Source organism: Homo sapiens, chromosome 17, assembly GCF_000001405.40.
Source record: "Homo sapiens chromosome 17, GRCh38.p14 Primary Assembly".
NCBI lineage: Eukaryota > Metazoa > Chordata > Mammalia > Primates > Hominidae > Homo > Homo sapiens.
In genome coordinates, this window is record NC_000017.11 from 34,911,782 (window position 1) to 34,929,189 (window position 17,408).

Here is a 17,408-nt window from a genome sequence, read left to right on the forward strand (position 1 = left end):
GAGCCTTCCTGGCAGAAGCCTTCCTCCCATTCCTGCCACAGAAACACCCGCCTCCCAGGCCCATGCTCTGCTGCTGCTTAAGGTTTGGTGAGGACATGGAGGTGACAAATATTTGTCATCCACTGAGGCATCCCAGAAATGGGATGGTGAGGAAGGGCTCACTAGATGGCTGTGGCGAGGGAGAAAGAAGTGGTTCATTACTCATGGGAGACAAGAGAATATGGATTTCTGTGGAGAAGGGAAAAGATTGTAAAATTTAGACAAAGCAGACAGAGAGAAGGGAAGATGCCAAGTAACAATAATAATAGCAGCTAACACTATGCACCAGGCACTGCTCTTAAAACTTTATTTGAAGTCCCTTCATCTTCCCAACCCTGTGTGGTGGATACTGTTATAATCTCCATTTTATAGATGAGGAAGCTGAGGTACAGAGAAGTTAAGTGACTTACCCAAAGAGTCAACCAGTTAAGTGGCAGAGCTGGGATTTGAACCAGGTAGGCTGGCTTCAGAGTCTGTGTTCCTAATTATTAGGATGCACAGGACAGGAGCCTGGACAAAGATGGCTTGAAGAGAAGCAGATAGAGCAAGGGGTAGGTGAGAAGGCTCAGGGGACAAATGTTGCCTTTCATACTATTTTCTTTCCTTTTTTTCTTTTTCTTTCTTTCTTTTTTTTTTTTTTTTTTTTTTTTGAGACAGAATCTCACTGTGTTGCCTATGCTGGATGGAGTGCCAATGGTGCCACCTCAGCTCACCGCAACTTCTGCCTCCCAGGTTCAAGCGATTCTCCTGCCTAAGCCTCTCAAGTAGCTGGGATTACAGGGGCACGCCACCTCATCTGGCTCATTTTTATATTTTTAGTAGAGATGGGTTTCACCATGTTGGCCAGGTTGGTCTCAAACTCCTGACCTCAGGTGATCCACCTGCCTCAGCCTCCCAAAGTGCTGGGATACAGGGGTGAGCCACTGCGCCCAGCCTATTTTCTCCCCATAAAATTCAATGGTGATGCTATCCATTTGGTGCTTGGGAAGTTGACACAGTGCCTTTCTATCTGATCCTTTCAACGACTCTGTAGAGTAGGTATTATCATCATCAATTTATAGATGAGGACATTGAGATTCAAGAAGTTAAGTAACCTTACTAGGGATGGCAAAGACAAGATTCAAATACAAGGTTTGTCTGTCTCTCCTTCCCATGCTCTTTTATTCATTCAAAAGGCACTTATAGGTACCTGTTTAGTGGCAGGCAGTGAGCTAAAAGTATTTGAACATGGGAAAGACACTGCCCTTGGAAGGATCCCTTGGTGGTGCCCCTCTCACTTGCACCCTACACACAGACCCATAAGGAACAGTCATCTTACTCTTGGCTGAAGCACATGAGCAGGGGTGAGGTGGGTAGGGGCAAGGGAGCATTCATGAGATCCTACTGTGTGCTTGGCATTTTTCTTGCATTCCATCACTGACCCCTTCCATTAGCTCAGCAGGGTAGATGAGGCTGAGGCTGCTTTACCTGTCTGGCGTCCTTCTTCCTACCTTCTCAGCATGAGAACCCTGGTTTTTTTGCCAATGAGCCTAACTAAAGACTACATTTTAAAGCCTCTGTTGCAATTAGGTGTAGCCATAGGGCTAAGTTCTGGATAATGAAATGTCAGAGGAAGTCATTGTGTGAGACTTCTAGAAAAGCTTCTTAAAAGGAAGTGAAGGCCGGGTGTGGTGGCTTACGCCTGTAATCCCAGCACTTTGGGAGGCCTAGGTGGGCAGGATCACCTGAGGTCAGGAGTTCCAGACCAGCCTGACCAACAAGGTGAAACCCTGTCTCTTCTAAAAATACAAAAATTACCCGGGCGTGGTGGAGTGCACTTGTAATCTCAGGTACTCAGGAGGCTGAGGCGAATTGCTTTGAACCCAGGAGGTGGAGGTTTCAGTGAGCCAAGATCACGCCACTGCACTCCAGCCTGGGTGACAGAGCAAGATTCTGTCCCCCTGCAAAAAAAAAAAAAAAAAAAGGAAGTGAGACTGCTGAGGTGGGCCCTTTCTATTCTGTTATAATGGCTGAAGGTCCAACAGACATTGCAGATCATTAAGGCAACTCTGAGGATGAAAATTATGTGCCCGGAAGAGTGGAACAAAACAATTAGAAGCCTGGGCCTCAAATAATAGTGAGAAACCACTATACATAAATCCTGATTTCCCTGTCTCTGAACATGAGAGAAAAATAACCTTTTTTTTTTTTCGAGAAGAGTCTTGTTCTGGTCACCCCAGGCTGGAGTGCAGTGGCATGATCTCAGCTCACTGCAACCTCTGCCTCCCAGGTTCAAGCAATTCTTGTGCCTCAGCCTCCTGAGGAGCAGGGATTACAGGCACACATCACCATGCCTGGGTAATTTTTTATTACCCAGAGACAGGGTTTCACCAAGTTGGCCAGGCTGGTCTCGAACTCCTGACCTCAAGGGATCTGCCCACCTTGGCCTCCCAAAGTGCTGGGATTACACGCATGAGTCACCATGCCGGCCCCGAGAAAAATGAACTTCTGTGTTGCTTAAGTTAATATCATTCCTGATCTCAACTTCAGGCAGCCCAATGCATGTCTTGACTTATACAGTAGCTTTACCATCATTCCCATTTGGAAACAGGCTGACAGGTTGCCCAAAATCCAACAGTTAAGAAGTGTGATTCAAACTTGAATCTTTCTGGTTCCAAAAGCTATACTCCTCCAATCCTTCTGGTAACAGCCCTTGGGAAAATTCACTCTCTTTAACTCATGAGAAGGCACAAACACTACAGTAGAGTTTAGAACAGCTGAAAACCTTTACATCCCCTGCTCTTGTCTCAGAGATGCACATCAGAGCAGACTGTCTTACACCTTACCTATGCACTCTAGTAGGTAAGTTAACCATATACCAGACAGAAGGGAGATTTTTAATTTCCCAGTTAACATCTCCTCTGCCTCCAAATTCCAAGTTGCCAGACTCTTTCAGGGATCCCATAGAAAATGCTATAAACTCACTCTCATGCAAACTTGACAACATGCTCTTTTCTCAGGAATACTTATATTTATGAATTCCTTAGAATTTTCTAGACACTGGATCATGTTGTCTGAAAATAATTTCCCATTCTTGCCTAATGGCACTAGCTAAAACCTCTAGTACTATGTTGAAGAAGTAAGAGTGGGCAGCCTTCCTTTGTTCCTGATCTTAGGTAGAATGCATTCAGGCTTTCACCCTGAACTATGATGTTTTCTGTAGGTTTTTTGTAGATGCCTTTTATCAGGTTAAGGAAGTTTCCTTTATTCTAAGTTTGAGTTTTTATCATAGATTTTGTAAAGAATTTTTGTGTGTATATTGAGATAATTGTGTAGTTTTATCCTTTATTCTACTAATTTGGTATATTATATTAATTGATTTTTGGATATTAAACCAACCTTGCATCCCTGGGATAAATCCCACTTGGTCATATTATATAATCTTTTTTATATGATGCTGGATTTAGTTTGCTCATATTTCATTAAAGAATTTTGTTCACATATTGTTCTGTAGTGTTCTTTTCTTTGATATCAGGAATACTTGCTGTGTCAGAAGCCCACAAGACCACTTCTGGGTTCAGTGGATCAGAACTCAGCATGTAGTTATACTTATGGCCATAGTTTATTACAGAGAAATGATACAAAGCAAAATCAGCAAATTATCCCATCTGGCACATGGGATGAGTCCAGAGGAAAGTTAAGTGCAAATTTCCAAGGTCCTCTCTCGTGGAGTCAGGCAAGATGTTCTTAATTTTTCCAGCAACAAATTGACAATGTGTAAAATGTTGCCAACCAGGAAAGCACATTAGAAACCCAGAGTCCAGGATCTTTTTTAGAAGCTGATTATATAGGAACTACATGCCTACATACCCAAATGTACCCAAAATTCCAGACTTCCAAAAGGAAAGCAGGTATTCAGTATAAATAATACTGACAGTCTGAACATAGGGTAGTGAGAACACTCCCAAATCCAAATTCCCAGATATCAACCAAGGACCAACCTTGAAAGCAGGCCTTTCAAAGGATAAAACCTGGGCCTGCTATAACTCTTTTCTACATACTTGCTTTTAAAACAAAAACCCAGACCAAAAGAAATACTAATGTTGGAATTTTAGCCACAGGAGGTAGGAAGTTTGAATGTCGGGACATTCTTGGTACCTTCAAACTATAGTCCCTTAGCTTACCCCCATATGGGTGTAAGGTTAAGCCTGCATCTCTAGAAAGTTTAATGTGATAATAATAAAGCAACAGAAAAGGGATCTCACTTCATGTCACGCAGTGCTTAGGCAGAAATATTTTTCCTGAACTGTAGGAAAAATGGCTTTATAGGCCTTGTGGCCTTTTGGCAACATTAGGCCCCCCAAACTGCACATCTCATCAGTCACAGTTCTGGGGCAGAGATTGAAAGAATGCCAAAGGGGGAAACAGGAAAGCACACACGTATTTGGCAAACCCCTGTGGCACACTCACCAATCTGCCTCCAGGCAGCAGGATCCTGGTCCCACAGCCAAAGTAGTGTTGACACTTCTCCACTGCTAGAGGCAAAAGTTTGCAGAGTTATTGTCATTAGTTGATTTTGCTCTATTTATGTAACAAACTGCATGCCCAATGCATACTGATGCATAACTATTGATCATAATAAAAATAATGGTAGCTAAGCAGTCGTTAAGTACAAAGTATGGCTCAAGCACTATGTATAGCAATCAACACATACTGACTTATCCTCACAACAATCCTGTAAGATAGGTAAAATATTATAATCCATTTATAGATGAGAAAACTGAGGTTAGGTGACTAGCCCCATGTCAAACAGCTGATAGATGGTAGAGGTGGAATATGGTTCCACACACTATGGTTCCAGAGCTAACATTCTTCTTTTTAGTTGTTTTGTTTTGTTTTTGTTTTTGTTTTAGAGACAGGGTATTGCTCTGTCACCCAGGCTGGAGTGCAGTGGCACAATCAAAGCTCACTATGACCTTGAACTCCTGGGCTTAAGCGCTCCTCCCACCTCAGCCTCCCGAGTAGCTGGGACTATAGGTGCATGCTACCATGCCTGGCTAATTTTTTATTTTTTCTAGAGATGAGGTCTTGCCATGTTGCCCAGGCTGGTCTTGAACTCCTGGGCTCAAGCAGTCTTCCTGCCTCAGCTTCCCAAAGTGCTGGGATTACAGGCATGAGACACCAAGCCCAGCCTCAACATTTTTAATTGCCAACACAACCCTGTTTCACAAAGACAACTGCATGACAGAGGGGTTTCCAACATTGTCCTCCCCATAGGATAGTCCACCACGTTCTCCAACCTAGATTGGGGCATAGGGTAGAAAAGAGTACTTTTAAGACTAAGGTTTAGTGAAGACAAAGAACCAAGTAACCCAAACAATATACTAGTAGGTAGACTCCTGAACAGTTAAAGTTTTCTTCAGTGGTACCATCTTCCTGAGCACATCTGGAAACACAAGGTACGTCTGGCTGTCACAAAGAATGGAGGGTGGTACTGGCCTTTAGTGCCTGGATGCCAGGGGTGTGAAACATCCAACTATCTCTAGAAAGTTCTACAATTGATAGAACAGTCAAGCACAATGAATGGTGTGCCCCCACTAATACTGCATGACCAACTGGCCCTTGTATACAGCTCTAGGACTACAGAAGAAAGAAGCAATAGGAAAAATCATTTTAAGCTCACTGCTCTCAAAGCCTTTCCTTATGCATTTTGAGCTTTTGTGAAGCTCCTGCCAGGCAAGCATATGGCCCAAACCTGTTTCTCAACCTCTGCATCTAAATTTATCTCCAAGTTAAGGGCAGAAGCCAGATACAGGCCCACAGGATATTTGTCCAACAAGGCACTTGGCTTCATCCTGGCCCAGGCAGCAAACAGACACAGGGCTATGTCGGTGATTCTTGGACTAAGCAATTGAGAAATATTGAGAAAGTCTCAGAAGGAAGGAGACTGTAGTCATTGTTCATTGTGACCATCATTAGCTCAGTTCTTTAATGCCAAGAACTCTGCCAAGCATGGAGAAGATGGCAAGTCAGGCCCATGGGAAAACCATTCTTACCATCTGTGGGCTCTAGGGAAATACCTGCACCCCGGCACTTCCCTTCTCTCTCTGTCCTCAAACATAATATCCCTCAGTAAAGGCCCAACTCGGGTCCCCAAGTGTTCTCTTTAAAGAAGGGCTAATATTTATGAAGTAGCTAAAGAGCAGGGTAGTCAGGAATCCACAATTAATTCAATACTATAAGGCTATCTTTATAAAATGTTTAGCAGCATATGTTTTTGTTTTTGTTTTCACAAAAGCCAACCAAAAACACTGATCTTCCAGGTTCCCATCTCTGTCCCTTTCCTATTAGCCTAAACATCAGGCCAGAAAAAGTATGATTGAAGATTAAATCTAATTCTGGGGCACTTGATTCCCTCATTAAAGACTTCAATCTAGAATAGAATAAGGAAAGCAAGACTATTTACAGAGTCACTGGGGATGTCCTTAATGATTATATCCTTGTTCCCCTAGATCTCTTTGACAATTATATAGGCAGCTGTAAAGGAAGAGTGAATGGATTGTTACAAGGCCTTAATACCTAGAGATATTAAACTGAATTACGTTCAAGAGCCAAAACCCTGGGATGGCAGTGGTATTGTGGGAGGCTGGGAGGGTAGTAATGTATGACTATGAGACAGGATCAAAACATAAAGCAATAGTGATGGCACCAATAAAGTGATCGCAAAGAAATAGTTATTGTTACAGAAAGGACTGTAAAAAAAGATAGGTTAGAAACAAGCAGTCAGGAGAATGGCAGACAGGGGGATATCGATTCTTGGCTCATGATATTTTAACTGTAGCTGGGAGATTTATGAAACAATCTTAGGATAAAGTATTTTTTATTTTTAAGGGAACTGTCATGAATTTTTTATGTACTTAAAAGTTGGATATTCTCCAACAGACAGAAAAATTAGTTAAGTAATTTGCATTGATATGGTTTGGCTGTGCCCCCATCCAATCTCAACTTGAATTGTATTTCCCAGAATTCTCATGTTTTGTGGGAGGGACCCAGTGGGAGATAACTGAATCATGGGGGTCAGTCTTTTCCCTACTATTCTCATGATAGTGAGAATACTGATCTGATGGGCTACAAGATCTGATGGGTTTATCAAGGTTTCTGCTCTCCTTCTTCCTCGTTTTTCTCTTGCCATTGCCATGTAAGAAGTGCCTTTCACCTCCCGCCATGATTCTGAGGCCTCTCCAACTATGTGGAACTGTAAGTCCAATTAAGCCTCTTTTTATTCCCAGTCTTGGGTATGTCTTTATTAGCAGTGTGAAAATGGACTAATATAGTAAATTGGTACCAGTAGGGTAGGGCATTGCTGAAAAGATACCCAAAAATGTGGAAGCAACTTTGGAACTGTGTAATAGGCAGAGGTTGGAACAGTTTGGAGGGCTCAGAAGAAGACAGGAAAATGTGGGAAAGTTTGGAACTTCCTAGAGATTTGTTGAATGGCTTTGACCAAAATGCTGATAATAATATGAGCAATAAGGTCCAGGCTCAGGTGGTCTCAGATGGAGAGGAGGAACTTGTTGGGAATTGGATCAAAGGTGACTCTTTTTCTGTTTTAGCAAAGAGACTGGCAGCATTTTGTCCCTGCCCTAGAGATCTGTGGAACTTTGAACTTGAGATAGATGATTTAGGCTATCTGGTGGAAGAAATTTCTAAGTAGCAAAGCATTCAAGAGGTGACCTGGGTACTGTTAACAGCATTCAGCTTTAAATAGGAAACAGAGCATAAAAGTTCAGAAAATTTGCAGCCTGGCTATGTGATAGAAAAGAAAAAACCATTTTCTGGGGAGAAATTCAAGCCGGCTGCAGAAATTTGCCTAAGTAGCAAGGAGTCTAATGTTAATCCCCAAGACCATGGGGAAAATGTCCCCAGGCCATGTCAGAGACTTTCACAGCAGCCCCTGCTATCACAGGCCCAGAGGACCAGGAGGAAAATGTGGTTTCATGGGCCAGGCCCAGGGTCCCCATGTTGTGTGCAGTCTAGGGACTTGGTGCCTTGTGTCCCAGCTGCTCCAGACTTGGCTGAAAGGGGCCAACATAGAGCTCAGGTTGTGGCTTTAGAGGGTGGAAGCCCCAAGCCTTGGGAGCTTCCAAGTGGTAATGAGCCTGCAGGTACACAGAAGTCAAGAACTGAGGTTTGGGAACCTCCACCTAGATTTCAGAAGATGTATGGAAACGCCTGGATGCCCAAGCAGAAGTTTGCTGCAGGGGGCAGGGCCATCATGGAGAACCTCTGCTAGGATGGTGTGGAAGGGAAATGTGGGGTTGGAGCCCCCACACAGAATCCCTACTGGGGCACTGCCTAGTGGAGCTGTGAGAAGAGGGCCACCATCCTCTAGACCCCAGAATGGTAGAGCCACCAACAGCTTGCATCTGCACCCGGAAGAGCCGCAGACACTCAATGCCAGCCCAAGAAAGCAGCCAGGAGGGAGGCTGTACCCTGCAAAGCCACAGGGGTGGAACTGCCCAAGACCATGGGAACCCACCTCTTGCATCAGCATAACCTGGATGTGAGACCTGGAGTCAAAGGAGATCATTTTGGAGCTTTAAAATTTGACTGCCCCACTGGATTTTGGACTGGCTTGGGCCCTGTAACCCCTTTGTTTTGGCAAATTTCTCCCATTTGGAATGGCTATATTTACCCAATACCTGTATCCCCATTGTATCTAGGAAGTAACTAGCTTGTTTTTGATTTTACAGGCTCATAGGCGGAAGGGACTTGCCTTGTCTCAGATGAGACTCTGGACTGTGGACTTTTGAGTTAATGCTGAAATGAGTTAAGATTTTGGGGGACTGTTGGGAAGGCATGATTGGTTTTAAAATGTGAGGACATGAGATTTGGGAGGGGCCGTGGCAGAATGATATGGTTTGGCTGTGCTCTCACCCAAGTCTCAACTTGAATTGCATTTCCCAGAATTCCCATGTTTTGTGGGAGGGACCCAGTGAGAGGTAATTGAATCATGGGGGCTGGTCTTTCCCACGCTATTCTTGTGATAGCGAGTAAGTCTCACAAGATCTGATGGGTTTATGAAGAGTTTCTGCTTTTCCTTCTTCCTCATTTTTCTCTTGCCACCGCCATGTAAGTGTCTTTTGCCTCCCACCATAATTCTGGGGCATCCCCAAACATGCAGAACTGTAAGTCCAATTAAACCCCTTTTTCTTCCCAGTCTCAGGTATGTCTTTATCAGCAGTGTGAAAATGAACTAACACATGCATTAAAAATAGATAGATCTGGCAGTTCTAGCACATAGCAGTCTAGCTAATGTGGACCACCCTCCACCTCACCCCTAATTTACAAACATAAAAATGCTAGAGGAAATGTATGGCTTGCAATGAGATACCATTTCATACCCAATAGGATGGCTGTTATCAAAAAATAACAAATATTGGTGAAGATATAAATTAGTGCCCTTGTGTACTGCTGGTGAGTATAAAAATGTAAAGAAATTCCTCAAGAAATTAAAAATAGAATTACCATGTGATCCAGCAAATCCACTTATTTGTATATATTCAAAAGAACTGAAAGTAGGGACAAACATATTTGCACACCCATGTTCATAGCAGCATTATTCATAATAGCCAAAAGGTAGAAATAACCCAAGTGCCCATCAATGGATGAATAAATAAATAAAATGTGGTAGGTACATATATTGGAATATTATTCAGCCTTAGAAAGAAATTCTAACACACACTACAATATTAATGAACATAGACAACATTACGCTAAGTGAAATAAACCAGTCGCCAAAAGACTGTATGATCCCGTTCATATGAGGTACATAGAGTAGTCAAATTCATAGAGACGGAAAGCAGAATGTGATTAACAGGGGCCAGGGGGAGGGGGAAATGAGGAGTTATTGTTTAATGGGTACAGAGTTTTAGCTCTGCACGGAAAAGAAGTACTAGAGACGGATGGTAGAGATGGTTGCACAACAATGCACACATACTTAATCCCACTGAGCTATTACACTTAAAAGTGGTTAAAATGGTAAATTTCATGTTATATATATTTTACCATTAAAATAAATAAATAAGGAGCATACAAAACAGAAACAAAAACTATATGGCTGAGCTTAAAAAAGAGAAAGGGAAATTATCTTCCAAAGGAAGTCAAAGCAGAGTGACGAACTCTGAAGGTGAACTATAGAAGCCAGAGAAAATAAGAAACTAGATGTAAGATCTAGTCTAGATGTCAGGCTTTTAACACTCACACAGAAACAGGACCACACTTGCAGGAAGGAGTTGAAGCTAAGGCCCCTAAATGAAACAAGAGCCTTAAAAAGGCACATTTACGGAGGCCAATGCAGAGGCTGGATGCACTCCACCCACCTGCCAAGTGAAGTAATGGGAAAACTTGCTCTGCTCAGGATGCCTATGAGAAACTGAAGCTCTAGGCCTACACCATGCTCAGGTGTGGATTGTGAAATTATACCACCTGAGGGTTTCAAAAAAAAGGTAAAAATGGTCCCATGTTTATAACTTGCCAATGAGAGTGCAAACTGGTATAAACCCTATGGAAGGGAATTTGGAAATATGTGCCATAATAACAAAGCCTGTACAATAGCAGAAAACAATGAGATAATATTTTCAAAGTGCTGAGAGAAAACAATGGGTAACTTAGTAAATTATCATTCAATAGTAAGGAGCAATAAAGACCTTTTGAGGGCAGCAAAACTAAGAGAGTATTACTACCAGATGTACACTAGAAGGAGAAAGAATATATAGCAGTAAGAAAGAAAGTGAATCCAGAAGGAAGAAGACAGTTGCAAGAAAGAGTGGTGAACAAAGAAATGAATAAACATATGGAAAGTCTAAACAGAAACTGACTTTATAAAATAATAGTGATTCTCAGCCTGACCAACATGGTGAAACCCTGTCCCTACTAAAAATACAAAAATTAGCCAGGCGTGGTGGTGCACGCCTGTAATCCCAGCTACTTGGGAGGCTGAGACAGGAGAATCGCTTGGACCTGGGAGGCAGAGGTTGTGGTGAGCTGAGATTGCACCACTGCCCTCCAGCCTGGGCGACAGAGTGAGACTCCATCTCAAAATAATAATAATAATAATAGTGATTATTACTATAACTAATTTAAGAGATTTAAAAACAAGAAGGAACTAAAATATTGAATGAGAACACATGTAAACACAGGAGGAATTACTGTATTTAAAATGTTTTAAGGACTTTGTATTGTTAGGGAGGAGCAGAGTTACTATGTTAAGTATGCAAGTTAAAATTTTTAAATTAACCCTACAGTAATAAAAATAGAATATATCATTTCCAAACCATCAAAGAGAAAAAAATGGGAAGTAGACAAAATTGAATCAATCTAATTGAAGGTAGTAAAAAGAGAAAGCATTTTTTAAAAAGAAGAGTAAACAAAAAGTATCAAAATTATATAGTAGAAATAAATCTATCACTAATCATCAAAAATAACTAAACTCACCAGTTAAAAGATACTGCCCAATTACTCCTGCAATCTCAGCACTTTGGGAGGCCAAGGCAGGAGGATCGGTCCAGCTCAGGAGTTCCAGACCAGCCTGGGCAACATAGCGAAACCCCATCTCCACTAAAAATAAAATAAAATAAAAAATAAATGAGCCGGATGTGGTGGTGCTCACCTGTAGTCTCAACTACTTGGGAAGCTAAAGTAGAAGAATCCCTTGAGCCCAGGAGATCGAGGTTGCAATGAGTTATTAAATTAATAAAATCTAGCAATAATGTGTTTTTAGAGACACATTTAATACCTGAAAACAAAGAAATTTCATAAAAGGATGGGAAAACATACTAGAAAAATAATATCCTTTCCCTATCCCCTGCACCAAAATAGAGCTGGCATTGCTAGATGAATATAAAACAAAATAAGACTTTAAGGGAAAAAGTATCATTTTATAAAGCATTTCTATAAAAATATAAATTATCAAAACAGCCTCGAAAGGAAATAGAAAACATGAGACCTAAAATAATAAAGAAAATTGAATCAGTAGTCAAAAATCTATCCTTCCCATCTAAAAAACTACTAGACTCAGACCAAACTGTCAAGAAATAGATAACCCTCCATTTTACCAATCAAACTTCCACAGAAAACAAAGAGTAATAATTCCTCAACTCATTTTATGAGGCTAATATGTCACTGATGTAAAAATTAGAAGAGGAAAGTAGAACAAGTAAAATTATAGGCCAACAGTGCTTATGAACACATGTAAAAACCTAAATAAATATTAGCATTGAGTCCAGCAGTATATAAATAGTACCATATTTCATTGAATCTAAAATGTCACTCATTATAAGATGCACCCATTACTTCATAGACTAAAAGAAAATGCTATCACTTCAACCATGACATAATACTTTATCATTCATACATTTTTTATATTTACTGTAAGAGCTTTTTAAACTTACATATACAATTTTTTATCATATATCGTTCCTATGCATTAATAACATAGGCAAAATAATAAGGTAAGATACTCTTAAGACTTCATAATCAAGAGTCCAACTCTTCTAAATCACTTTTCAACTTAGAGTCTCTGACACTCATTCTCACCATCAAGAAGTGGTAATGCAACATTTCATGAAAAAGTCTCTACTACTATCTCTGGCATTTTCTTCTAAGCCATTGACACATATTCTGAAAATTTTGATGTTGAAGTTTTTTTCTTTAACTTCCTGGAACATGACATTGTAGTACAGAAACATACTGAAAGCCAGGTGGGGTGGCCCCCACCTGTAATCCCAACACTTGGGGAGGCTGAGGTGGGAGGATCACTTGAGGCCAGGTGTTCAAGACCAGCCTGGGCAACACAGTGAGGCCCTGTCTCTACATACATACATACATACATACATACATACATACATACATACATACATACATACAAGAAATATACTGGAATATGCCCTGCTTAGATTTTAAAAGTATAAGCATAGATTGCAAATCCCACTTGATGTAAACAAAACTTTTAAAACACATTTTATATATATATAACTTATTATATGAGTCCAGATTCAGAAACTTGGGGTAAGGCAGTTCCAGATAGTTTCATTTCACCTGTAAACTGTGTCACTTTGGCTGATATTGTAATTTGTAAATGTATCATATGTTTACAGATGTGGCCTGCATTAATGTTCCTATTTTGGTTTTTGTTGAATCTCCTGTCTGCTTGCCAAAACCTAGGATGCTTCAGGCCCATGTACAATCAAAAGCAGAGGCATCCTTGAGCGTTAAAGCATTGAACTAACTGGAAAATGCAATATACCATATAACTGAAGTGAAAAAAGGCTGTATTTTTGTGTTTTTTTAAATAAAAGTTTGTGTAACTTTTTTTAAAAAAAGAAATACACTGGAATACTCCAAAACTGCTAAAATGAGTGAATGGATAAGTCTCAAAACCATTAAGTGAGAAATAAAAGCACAAAAGTATATCTACAGAGCGATACAATTTATACATTTTAAAAACCCAAGAAAAGGCTCGGTACTCAATAATCCCACCACTTTGAGAGGCCAAGGCAGGGGGACTGCTTGAGGCCAGGAGTTCAAGAACGGCCTGGGCAACATAACAAGACCCCATCTCCACAAAAAAAAAACAAAAAACAAAAAACAAAAAAAAAAAAGAAAGAAAGAATGGAAAAAAAGAAAAAAAAAGAAAAATTCACCAGTTAGCTAGGTGTGGTGTCATGTGCCTATAGTCCTAGCTACTCAGGAGGCTGAGGTGAGAGGATTGCTTGAGCCCAGAAGTTTGAGGCTGCAGTGAGCTGATTGTGCCACTGCACTCCAGCCTGGGTGACACAGTGACACCCTGTCTCTAAATAAACTAAATAAATAAATACCCCAAACAAAATTTTTATGTTGTCACAGGTATGCAAAAGAATAAAGAGTGGCTGGGCGCAGTGGCTCACAACTGTAATCCCAGCACTTTGGGAGGCCGAGGTGGGTGGATCATCTGAGGTCAGGAGTTCAAGACCAGTATGGCAAACATGGTGAAACTCTGTCTCTACTAAAAATACAAAAGATCAGCCAAGCGTGATGGCAGGTGCCTGTAATCCCAGCTACTAGGGAGGCTGAAGCAGGAGAATCACTTGAACCTAGGAGGTGGAGGTTGCAATGAGCCGCGATCGTACCACTGTACTCCAGCCTGAGCAGCAAAACTGTCTCAAAAAAAAAAAGAATAAAGAGTGGGAAAAATAAAAGTGAATAGGCAATAAAGATCACCTCTAGGGAAGAAGGGTGGAAAAAGCATGATGGGGAGTGGGTGGGGGAAGTGGCATCTTAACATTTTGTATTTTGGTATTTCTTTAAAGAAAATCTGGCTGGGTACAGTGGCTTATGCCTGTAATCCCAAAACTTTGGGAGGCCGAGGCAGGCAGATCACTTGAGGTCACGAGTTTGAGACCAGCCTGGCCAACATGGCGAAACGCCATCTCTGCCAAAAATACAAAATTAGCCAGGCGGTGGCAGGCTCCTGTAATTCCAGCTACTTGGGAAGCTGAGGTAGGAGAATCGCTTGAATCCAGAAGGTGGAGGTTGCAGTGAGCCAACATGGTGCCACTGCACTCCAGCCTGGGTGACAGGAGGGAGACTCTGCCTCAAAAAAAAAAAAAAAAGAAAAAGAAAAGAAAAGAAAATCTGAAACAAATATGGCAAAATGTTACTATTTGTTAAAGCTAGGTGGAGGGTACAAATGTGTTTATTATATTACTTTCTGTCTTTTTGGTATATTTTAAATATTTCAAAATTTAAACAATGTTACACAGAAAAGATCTGGCCATATGCATGGTAAGCCCATTTTAAAAGGCCTATCCTATAGAATAAAGACAAGTTTAAAAAGGAGATCTTTCTTTATAACAGCAAAAAAAAAATTGAAAACAGAATTAGTAAAATAAATTGTGGTATAACCATACAATGCAATGCTATGTAACCATAAATAAGTGATGGTTCAGAAGTCTGAATACTAGGCCAGGTGTGCTGGCTCATGCCTGTAACCTGAGTACTTTGGGAGGCCAAGGCAGGCAGATCACCGAAAGTCAGGAGATTGAGATCTGCCTAGTCAACATAGTGAAACCCCTTCTCAACTAAAAATACAAAAATTAGTCAGGCGTGGTGGTGTGCACCTGTAATCTCAGCTACTAAGGAGGATAAGGCAGGAGAGTCACTTGAGCCTGGGAGGCAAAGGTTGCAATGAGCCGAGATCATGACTGCACTCCAGCCTGGGTGAAGAGTGAGACTCCATCTCAAAAAAAAAAAAAAAAAAAAAAAGAAGAAGAAGAAGTCTGGATACTGCCTTAGAAAGATGCTGACAGCATATTAAGTGGAAAAAACAGGCTATAAAATTATAGGGTTAAAGGAACCTTCTCCTATATGCACAAACAGGCCAAAGTTCCATTAATGCACCTGCCATATTTTAGTCTCTTATCAACTACCATCCACGGAAAGAAGTTAACCACAAGAACTCTAATAAAAATAAAAAGCATAATAGATTAATTCTAGAGTTTCAAACAAGAAAGATATTGCTATAATATCTATACTGAACAGTTGTATTATAAGCCAAAAATAATTATTTCCCACCATTGGTGTCAATAATTCTCTTTCCAGATGAGACCTGTTCTATCTCACCATCTAGACAGAGAGCTACCAGAGCTAGCACAGTGGCATAAATTGTTGATCATACATACAAAAACAGCCAGATAAAATATAATAAATGATATACAAAATAAATTGAGTCAGATATTATAAACAATGCAACCCAAAGCTACACGCCATATTTATAAGAGGAAAGAGTGGCAGCAAAAAGTCACTGAAAGAATTTTGAGAGAAAATGAAACATTCTGTCCTACTATATTTATACCCTCTGATAAATTGGAAATTTACTTGGGTGTACTAAAACCTCTATTTTGTTAATTAAAACTTGTCAAAAGGTCTAAGTATCATAAAGATCCTATGCTATAAAAACTGCAATAGCATATAACAAAGAGTGGGGAGTTAGGACTCTTGGGGAAATATTTAAATATTATTCCTTTACTGTAAAAGTATTTATTGTGTTCTTTATACCTTGATGAAATATTTTTGAGACTATTAAGACCCAAAAGACATAAACTGCATTTATTGTGTAGAAATTCAGAATGGCTCAGGCTACACAATAGTAGTCAGATGTAAAGTGTACTAAATTTCATCTTCTAGAAGGGTTGATTTTGAATTCAATCATCATTTGAGAGAAGACATCCCAGCTCGCATAATTTCATCAACCAGGAGAATGTTGGTGGCAATCACTGTGCTAAGGAAAAAGATGAGAGGGTGAGTAAAGCCTACTAACCCACTCTTAGCTTTTTTCCCCAGCAATCTTTACCTATGTAGGGTACTTTGTTCTTTAATGATGTTAGTATGATGTTTTATGAGACAAGGCTATTATAAATACAAATACAAATGTCACCTTTTTTTTTTTTCCCAAGATGGAGTTTCACTCTTGTTGCCCAGGCTGAAGTGCAATGGCAAGACCTCAGCTTACTGCAACTTCTGCCTCCCAGGTTCAAGCAATTCTCCCGCCTCAGCCTCCCGAGTAGCTGGGATAACAGGCACCCACCAACACGCCTGGCTAATTTTTGTATTTTTAGTAGAGACAGGGTTTCACCATGTTTGCCAGGCTGGTCTCGAACTCCTGACCTTAGGTGATTCACCCGCCTCGGCCTCCCAAAGTGCTGGGATTACGGGTGTGAGCCACCGCACTGGCCCAAATGTCACCCTTTGTATTATAATTTAAACTCCTTTGCTGATAAAGTGCATTCCTGATTTATATTTCAGCAAAATTGAGCTTATTTTTACAATATCATTTGATTTTCTCCATCATGCATGTGCTATTATTTCAGTAAATTTCCCCTTTTCTTTCCCCCTCAAATAGTAAGGTTAATTTTTCTTAGAACTTAACACTGCTAGATCTAAAATATAAAAGGGACTATGGACTATAAAATGACAGAAGCTAGTTCTAATAACTGAATACCACACCTTTCATACACTTGACAATTTTTCCACTGTACAGGGACAAAAATAATAGAAAAAATTTCATCTTAATATTATCAATTATAACTCTACAGGTCTTTCACTTTATGTTCATATGAACTTACCAAGAGTGAAGAAGTTGTTTTTTTACACAATAATTATCCCAAACTCCTGCATCTGCTGCTACCATTGGCTCACCTGAAAAGTAAAAACAATTTTCATACCAAAATCTTAGTATTTGCTATTAATATTAATTGATATCTTCTAAAAATATTTAATACATTACCAAAACTACTTTTGTCAAGGTCATCAATGACCTCCATATTGTTAAATCCAATGGTTGATTCTCAGAC

General features: G+C 40.3%; 1 protein-coding gene and 1 long non-coding RNA gene across 10 annotated transcripts in view, besides 1 other annotated feature; both read right to left on the reverse strand.

Moving 5' to 3' along the window:
• LOC105371742 (uncharacterized) overlaps positions 1–11,616 on the reverse strand; it is a 163,994-nt gene extending 152,378 nt beyond the window's left edge. For 6 of the 7 annotated variants that reach the window (XR_934691.4, XR_001752844.3, XR_001752845.3 and 3 more), the window contains exons 1-2: positions 11,515–11,616; positions 4,489–4,553 (exon numbers count right to left, since the gene is read on the reverse strand). This is a non-coding gene — a long non-coding RNA (uncharacterized LOC105371742). The remainder of the gene's footprint in view (positions 1–4,488; positions 4,554–11,514) is intronic. The other variant, XR_001752848.3, reaches the window with a different exon arrangement.
• Positions 1,809–1,868: an enhancer, noted in NCBI's record as "active region_12046". NCBI's record gives its function as "activates an Ori minimal core promoter by ATAC-STARR-seq in GM12878 lymphoblastoid cells {active_cell/tissue: GM12878}" and the evidence as "EXISTENCE:reporter gene assay evidence [ECO:0000049][PMID:35858748]".
• Positions 11,617–16,079: 4,463 nt separating the features above from the next.
• The window catches only part of CCT6B (chaperonin containing TCP1 subunit 6B), a 33,600-nt gene continuing 32,271 nt past the window's right edge, over positions 16,080–17,408 (reverse strand). For all 3 annotated transcript variants that reach the window (NM_001193530.2, NM_001193529.3, NM_006584.4), the window contains 2 exons: positions 17,181–17,253; positions 16,080–16,336 (listed from right to left, as the gene is read on the reverse strand). In NM_001193530.2, the coding sequence (NP_001180459.1) occupies positions 16,267–16,336; positions 17,181–17,253 (143 nt within the window). In that variant the 3' untranslated portion in view covers positions 16,080–16,266. The remainder of the gene's footprint in view (positions 16,337–17,180; positions 17,254–17,408) is intronic.